Source organism: Homo sapiens, chromosome 19, assembly GCF_000001405.40.
Source record: "Homo sapiens chromosome 19, GRCh38.p14 Primary Assembly".
In the NCBI taxonomy this organism is placed as follows: Eukaryota; Metazoa; Chordata; class Mammalia; order Primates; family Hominidae; genus Homo; species Homo sapiens.
The window spans coordinates 19,831,337-19,839,880 of NC_000019.10; the positions used below are offsets into that span (position 1 = coordinate 19,831,337).

Consider the following 8,544-nt stretch of genomic DNA (forward strand, 5'->3'; position numbering starts at 1 on the left):
AGTGCTTCATTAAATGGGTTAGGCTCCCTGTGCCACCCAAATGGGTGAGACCCTTCAACAGGGGTTGTCAGACACCCTATACAGGAGCGATCCTATGGGCATCAGGTTGGTGCCTCTTGAGGTCAAAGATTCCAGAGGAAAGAGTAGGCACCTGTCTTTGCTGTTCTCCAACCTCCTTGAGTGACATCTCCAGGCACGGGAGTAAACCAGATGAATAGGGCCGGAAGTGATCCCCCAGCAAACTGCAGCAGCCCTACAGAAGAGGGACCTGACCATTGAAAGAAAAACAAGCAAACGGAAAGCAACAACAACAGCATCAACAACAAAAAAGTACCCACAAAAACCGTATCCGAGGCCGGGCATGGTGGCTTTCACCTGTGACCCCAAGACTTTGGGAGGCTGAGGTGGGCAGATCGCTTGAGGCCAGAGTTCAAGACTAGCCTGGCCAACATGGCGAAACCCTGTCTCTACTAAAAAATGCAAAAATTAGCCAGGCGTGGTGGTGCATGACTGTAGTGCCAGCTACTTGGGAGTCTGAGACATGAGAATCACCTGAACCTGGGAGGTGGAGGTTGCAGTGAGCCGAGATCATGCCACTGCACTCCAGCCTGGGTAATAGAGCAAGACTCTGTCTAAAAAATAAAAATAAAAATAAAATAAAAATAAAAATAAAAAACCATCCAAGGATCAGCAGCCTCAAAGATCAAAACTAGACAAACTCATGAAGATGAGAAAGAATCAACAAAAAAATGCTGAAAGGCCAGAGTGCCTTTTCTCCTCCAAATGATCAAAATGTCTCTTCAGCAACGTGCAGAACTGGACAGAGGATGAGATGGATGAATTAACAGAAGTAGGCAGATAATAACAAAGTCTGCTGAGCTAAAAGAACATGTTCTAACCCAATTCAAAGAAGCTAAGAACCTTGATAAAAGGTTAGAGGAAATGCTAACTAGAATAACCAGTTTGGAGAAGAACATAAATGACCTGATGGAGCTGAAAAACACAGCATGAGAACTTCATGAAGCATACAAAAGTATCAATAGCCGAATAGACCAAGCAGAAGAAAGGATATCAGAGTTTGAAGACCACCTTGCCGAAATAAGGCTTGCAGAGAAGATTAAAGAAAAAAGAATAAAAAGGAACAAACAAAGCCTCTGAGAAATATGGTGTTCTGTGTGGAAAATGCACAGGGGGAGAAGAAAAGACACACACACAGTACCTTTAAGGGTAAACAAGCTTTATCCCATGTAAATGGCAATGCAGATACAATAAGCGAATTGATATCATAAGCAAATTGCAGTGGGAAGGGGAGAAGGGAAAAGAGATGTGTATATATATATATATTTACACTCACGAGACTATGGAGGATTCATCACCAGATCAGGAAGCAACAGCCTGGGCTCCAGGGTCAGACACCAGACTCACCAGACTATGGAGGATTCACCAACACACTGGGAAGCAACAGCCTGGGCTCTAGAGTTGGCCACCCATTCATGCACAGACAAGCAGAGGTCTCTTGAAGCTTTGGTGCAGTCTGGGACCCTAGCTCTTTTTGTAACAAGTTGTTTGGCATGAGGCCCAGTCACGAGGGCCCTTCGTGACTGGGCTCAAGGAACACAAAAAGGTCAACTTGTTTTTGCGATTGTCTATTATTTTTCAATAACTAACATATAGAATAGATGGCAATAGAGATTTTTCTGAAACAGTGCTGGATGAACGCCTCGAGGGGCTCACACAACCTGTTCTGGGACTTGATGACCATTGTTTGTGTCCACGTTCAACGGAGTTCAAATTTAATATTTAACTATTCCACCGCATTCACAACTCCTTCTGTATATTGTAAATATAGCACTCAAAAATGTGCATGTTCGTATTCATGACTTTAAATTTCTACTTTATTATCTAGAAAAATATCATAAATAAACTGATGTAGTGGATCTCATGCTGCTCTTTCTTCTCGGAGTTAGAGAATACATTAGAGAATATTTCTATGTTGAAAATTATTTTATTGGATAATTTTAGTCAGTCCTATAAGCCAGAACCAATTGTCTTTACTCTCTAATTTCACCTTAAGTCAAATTAAAAGTCTCGCCCATGGCCACTTGGTAAAAACGTGTGTGTGTGTGTGTTTTCCAGGGACCATTGCAATTTAGAGACGTGGCCATAGAATTCTCTCTGGAGGAGTGGCATTGCCTGGACACTGCACAGTGGAATTTATATAGGGATGTGATGTTAGAGAACTACAGACACCTGGTCTTCCTTGGTGAGGATAACTTGAATGTATAATTCATAATGTACCCTAAAGGTTTTATTTCTCCTTTTTGTGAAATGTTTTTTAGTAATTTATTTTTTGCGTAAAAGAGTTTCAGATGCCCTTTTTCCAGAAAATTTTTAGAATTTGTTCATTTAGAAAAGAATTTCAAGATGTTTAATCTTTTTTTTTTTTGAGACAGAGTCTCGCTTTGTCACCCAGGCTGGAGTGTAGTGGCACGATCTCAGCTCACTGCAACCTCCGCCTCCCGGGTTCACGCTATTCTCCTGCCTCAGCCTCCCGAGTAGCTGGGACTGTTGGCGTACGCCGCCACGCCTGGCTAATTTTTTTTTTTTTTTGTATTTTTAGTAGAGATGAGGTTTCACCGTGTTGTCCAGGATGGTCTCGATCTCCTGACCTCGTGATCTGCCCGCCTCAGCCTCTCAAAGTGCTGGGATTACATGCGTGAGCCACTGCGCTCAGCCAAGATGTTTAATCTTAATCCAAAATCTCCACATGCCTGAGTTGAGCTGTGTTCTTCACTCTAAATTAGCGGTAAGCCCAGAAATTTAGTGGCATAAAATATTGTTGTCCGCACCTGAAAATCTAATTGCCACCATCAATTTTTGATTCAGTCACACCAGGTAGTAAAATTTAAAAATCTACAAGCAAAACCGGGTGCGGTGGCTCAAGCCTGTAATCCCAGCACTTTGGGAGGCCGAGGCGGACGGATCACCTGAGGTCGGGAGTTTGAGACCTGCCTGACCAACATGGAGAAACCACATCTCTACTAAAAATACAAAATTAGCAGGGCATGGTGGCGCACACCTGTAATCCCAGCTACTCCAGAGGCTGAGAGAGGAGAATCCTTTGAACCCAGGAGGCAGAGCTTGCAGTGAGCCAAGATCGCACCACTGCACTCCAGCCTGGGCAACAGAGCAAGACTCCATCTCAAAAAATAAATAAATAAATAAAAGCACAATATTATACTGGACAGCAGGAAGAGCTGTGTTGGGTATAACAGAGCTTTCTTTTTCTTCTATGTGGCTATTTCATTCTGCTCACGTGGGGAACTTCACACATTTAACTCATTTATACATTTTTTTACACATGTATTTTGGTCAGTACGTTTTTGTTACATTTATGTGTCCAGGAAGAAATTAGAGCTGGTGGTATTTTGCTATGTCATCTTGCTTATGTAGTTTGTATAATTTTATAGGTTAGATTTGTAAAGTATATTTATTTATCTGAGTCTAGCAATTGAAGTAATGTGATTTTACTGTTTCTTTCTGTTATGTGTTCTCATTTTGCCCAAGACCTTTGGCCAGAGCAGAGCATAAAAGATTCTTTCCAAAAAGTGATACTTAGAAGATATGAAAAATGTGGATATGACAATTTACAGTTAAAAAAAGGCTGTGAAAGTGTGGATGAGCATGAGCTGCTCAAAAGAGGTAATAATGGTCTTCACCACAGTCTGACAACTACCCAGAGAAAAATATTTCAATGTGATAAATATGGGACAGTCTTTCAGAAATTTTCAAATTGAAACAGACCTAAGATACGACATACTGGAAAAAAATCTTTCAAATGTATAGTATGCGGCAAAGCTTTTAACTCGTCCTCAAACCTTACTACACATAAGAAAATTCATACTGGAGAGAAACCCTACAGATGTGAAGAATGTGGCAAAGCCTTCAAAAGGTCCTCACACCTTACTGTACATAAGATAGTTCATACTGGAGAGAAATCCTACAAATGTGAAGAATGCGGGAAAGCCTTTAAGCACCCCTCACATGTTACTGCACATAAGAAAATTCATACTGGAGGGAAACCCTACAAATGTGAAGAATGTGGCAAAGACTTTAAGTACACTTCTACCCTTATTGCACATAAGAGAATTCATACTGGAGAGAAGCCCTACAAATGTGAAGAATGTGGCAAAGACTTTTAAGTGCACTTCTAACCTTACTACACATAAGAGAATTCATACTGGAGAGAAGCCCTACAAATGTAAAGAATGTGGCAAAGCTTTTCACCTATCCTCACACCTTACTACACATAAGATACTTCATACTGGAGAGAAGCCCTACAGGTGTAAAGAATGTGGCAAAGCTTTTAACCATTCCACAATCCTTTTTTCACACAAAAAAATTCATACTGGAGAGAAATTCTACAAATGTGATGAATGTGGCAAAACCTTTACCTGGCCCTCACTACTCTCTAAACACAGGAGAACTCATACTGGAGAGAAACCCTACAAATGTGAAGTGTGTGGCAAAGCCTTTACTGCATCCTTAACTCTAACTGAACATCAGAGAATTCATACTGGAGAGAAACCTTACAAATGTGAAGAATGTGGCAAAGCTTTTAACTGGTCCTCATACCTTCATAAACATAAGAGAATTCATATTGCACAGAAACCCTACATAGTGAAGAATGTGGCAAACATTTTAAATATTCCTCCACTTTTAATAAGCATAAGATAATTCATACTGGAGAGAAACTGGATGAATGTGGGAAAGCCTTTAACCAGCCCTCGACTCTTACTAACTATGAGAATTTATATGGAACATAAACTCATACAAATATAACAAATATAAAAAATGTGACAAAGCTTTTTTTAAAATTTTTTTATTTATTTTTTTATTATACTTTAAGTTTTAGGGTACATGTGCACATTGTGCAGGTTAGTTACATATGTATACATGTGCCATGCTGGTGCGCTGCACCCACTAACTCGTCATCTAGCATTAGGTATATCTCCCAATGCTATCCCTCCCCCCTCCCCCCACCCCACCACAGTCCCCAGAGTGTGATATTCCCCTTCCTGTGTCCATGTGATCTCATTGTTCAATTCCCACCTATGAGAATATGCGGTGTTTGGTTTTTTGTTCTTGCGATAGTTTACTGAGAATGATGATTTCCAGTTTCATCCATGTCCCTACAAAGGACATGAACTCATCATTTTTTATGGCTGCATAGTATTCCATGGTGTATATGTGCCACATTTTCTTAATCCAGTCTATCATTGTTGGACATTTGGGTGACAAAGCTTTTAAAGGAAGTTCTCAACCTTTATTACACGTAATTCATACTGGACAGAAACCCTACAAGTGTGAAGAATGTGGCATGGCCTATAAGAAGTTCTCAATTCCATTTTTTTTTTTTTTTTTGAGATGAAATTTCAGTCTTGTCACCCAGGCTGGAGTACAATGGCATGATCTTGGCTCACTGCAACCTCTACCTCCTGGGTTCAAGCCATTCTCCTGTCTTAGCCTCCCAAGTAGCTGGGATTACAGTTGCCCACCACCACGTCTGGCTAATTTTTTGTATTTCTAGTAGAGACGGGGTTTCACAATGTTGGCCAGTCTGGTCTCGAACTCTTGACCTCAGGTGATCCACCCACCTTGGCCTCCCAAAGTCCTAGGGTTACAGGCATGAGCCACCATGCCTGGCTACAGGTTTTCAATTCTTAAGAGACATGGTGATAATTCATGCTGGAGAGGAAATCTACAAACCTGAAAGATGTGACAGTGCTTTTTACCAACACCTCCAAATTTCCTATACATAAAAATAAATTACACTAATGTGAAACCCTAGAAATGTATAAAATGTGACAAAGCCTTTATATGGTTGTGACACTGATTGTAGGTAAGATAATTCATACTGGCAAAACTCCTACAAGTGTGAAGAATGTGGTAAAACTTTTAATCAGTGCTTACACCGTATTTCACAGGAAAGCTATTATCCTTGAGAAAAATTGTACAAATATAAAGAATATGGAAAAGCCATTAATGCCCATCACATCTTACTCAACAGAAGAAAGCTCGTAGTTAATAAAAGCATGAAAAGGGCAATTACTGTCAAAAAATCTTTCAGAAAATATAAGCCTTTAGAGTGAAGAATATTTATTTTGAAGACAGCCATTACAAATATAAAGTGGGTTGTAGTGCCTTTACTTGTGTCACAGATCTTATTGAACACATTTGTACTAGAAGAAAACCCTGAAGCAGTTGCTCAAGCTTTGCTCAACATTGGAATTTATATTGGAGAAGAGTCCTGCTAATGAATTTGGAAAGCCCTTTTTTTTTTTTTCAAAAACTGCAGCTTAGAAAACACCAGAGAGCTTATACTAAAATATATTTTTGCAGATGCAGTAAATATAAAAAAATTTAATTCAAAATTGATTCTATGTAAATATCAGATAATTTACAGCAAAATAACTAAGGCACTGACACTTCAGACATTACACTAAATCAGAGTGTTGAGTATAAAAACTAATCCACAGCTACAGCTGTTAAATTATTTGTATATAACTTTAAAAGTAGTAGATTTTTTTTTTTTTTTTTGAGACGGAGTCTCGCTCTGTCGCCCAGGCTGGAGTGCAGTGGCGGGATCTCGGCTCACTGCAAGCTCCGCCTCCCGGGTTCACGCCATTCTCCTGCCTCAGCCTCCCAAGTAGCTGGGACTACAGGCGCCCGCCACTACGCCCGGCTAATTTTTCGTATTTTTAGTAGAGACGGGGTTTCACCGTTTTAGCCGGGATGGTCTCGATCTCCTGACCTCGTGATCCGCCCGCCTCGGCCTCCCAAAGTGCTGGGATTACAGGCGTGAGCCGCCGCGCCCGGCCTAAAAGTAGTAGATTTTTTTGAAGCATTGTAGTTACATTGAAAGTATAGTTGTTTCCTTGAAAAAACAATTTTGAAAAGTGAATAAATATGTAATATGGTTTTCATATTACTTTATGCTGTTATTTCTATTGTGCTCACATGTGAAAGCATGTGATCAATTGTTGCTGCATCAGATATATTAGAGATTGTTTACTAATTGGGCATTACTTAGAACCTTTTCTATAAAAGAGTAAGAACATCAAAATCTATGATGGATGATGAAAATGTAAGTGGAGCGCCTTTTTGTAGTTAACTTATACTAAGTAATGTATAAGGTGGGGGTTCATGTTCTCATTTGTATTATCGTACCCTATAACTTAATGTTGACACTTTGCTTTGTCTTTTGGATGGCCTAACCTACATTAACATGTATGCAGAACATCTTAAAACTTTTTTTTCAAAAGTTATAATGAATTACTTTATTAGTAACAAAGATTAAAAAAGGTGGGGGTTCAGAGTAATATTTTTCTACATTATAGTGAGATAAAAATTATTATAGTTAAAAGTATTAAATTAGTATATTATTTTACTAGTTGTACTTTTATGTAATAAAATGCAGTACACTTCAAAATTGTTAGATTTTGAACTTAATTTTATTTTTTTACCATGTTAAGACTATTGTGCATTTAATGAAGCATTATTATGCCACTTAACTTTAACCTATTTAACCTTACTCAACAGTGTAGGTAAAAGATGGTAGCAATATACTATTTGGTTCATAGTGGAATAACATCTCTAGTAATCCCTTTGCCAGTGGCTTTAAACTGTAAATCAGCTGAAGAATATTTTCCCACTGGTTAAATTTTTATTCTTTTTTCTTATTGAAATTAATTATTAGTATTTTGGGGTATATAGTATGTGTATATATTTATTCCTTATATGGCATATTTTGATTCAGGCATACAATATGTAGTAATTACATTAGGGTAAATAAGGTATCCATCACCTCTAGCATTTATCTTTTCTGTTACAAAGAGTGTAATTAACACTTTTAGTGTATAATTTAGTGAGGCAGGTGGATTGCCTGAGGTCAGGAGTTCAAGAGCAGCCTGGCCAACATGCTGAAAGCCCGTGTCTATTAAAAATTCAGAAATTAACCAGGCATGGTAGTGCAAGCCTGGAGGCTGAGGCAGGAGAGTCGCTTGAATCCCTTAGGTGGAGGTTGCAGTGAGCTGAGATCATGCCACTGCACTCCGGACTGGGGAATAGAGCGAGACTCCCTCTCAAAAAAAAGTGAAAGAAATATAAATAAAATTCTTACATTCTTAGTCCTGAAAAATTATTAATAAACAATTGTTATTTAATTGTTTTTGAACATGTGGTCTCTCTGCCTGCAAACATATACACTTTTAGTTTTAATTTACATATAGTTAAATATACACATATTACTCTGAAGATAACTTTAGGTGTAAGAAAATTATTCAGTGAGTAAGTGTGTTTGTGTGAGTATGAGTTTGTACATATTTTCAGAAGAAAAGAGCAATTATTGGAACAAAATGAATTATTTTAATAGGGTAACTAATAAAAAACTAAACACCTTGAAAATGCTGAAAGCAAATCCACACTTTCTGCTTTGTCTTGAATTTATTAATGTAAAATTTTATGGCTTATGTCTCAGATTCT

The 8,544-nt window shown here is 38.6% G+C and overlaps 1 pseudogene across 1 annotated transcript in view; it reads left to right on the plus strand.

Annotated features, from left to right (window-relative positions):
* Positions 1-4,846, plus strand: part of ZNF56P (zinc finger protein 56, pseudogene) — a 59,609-nt pseudogene extending 54,763 nt beyond the window's left edge. The window contains exons 2-3 of the transcript NR_171023.1: positions 2,137-2,263; positions 3,568-4,846. The product of NR_171023.1 is annotated as a zinc finger protein 56, pseudogene (transcript). The remainder of the gene's footprint in view (positions 1-2,136; positions 2,264-3,567) is intronic.
* Positions 4,847-8,544: the final 3,698 nt, after the last annotated feature.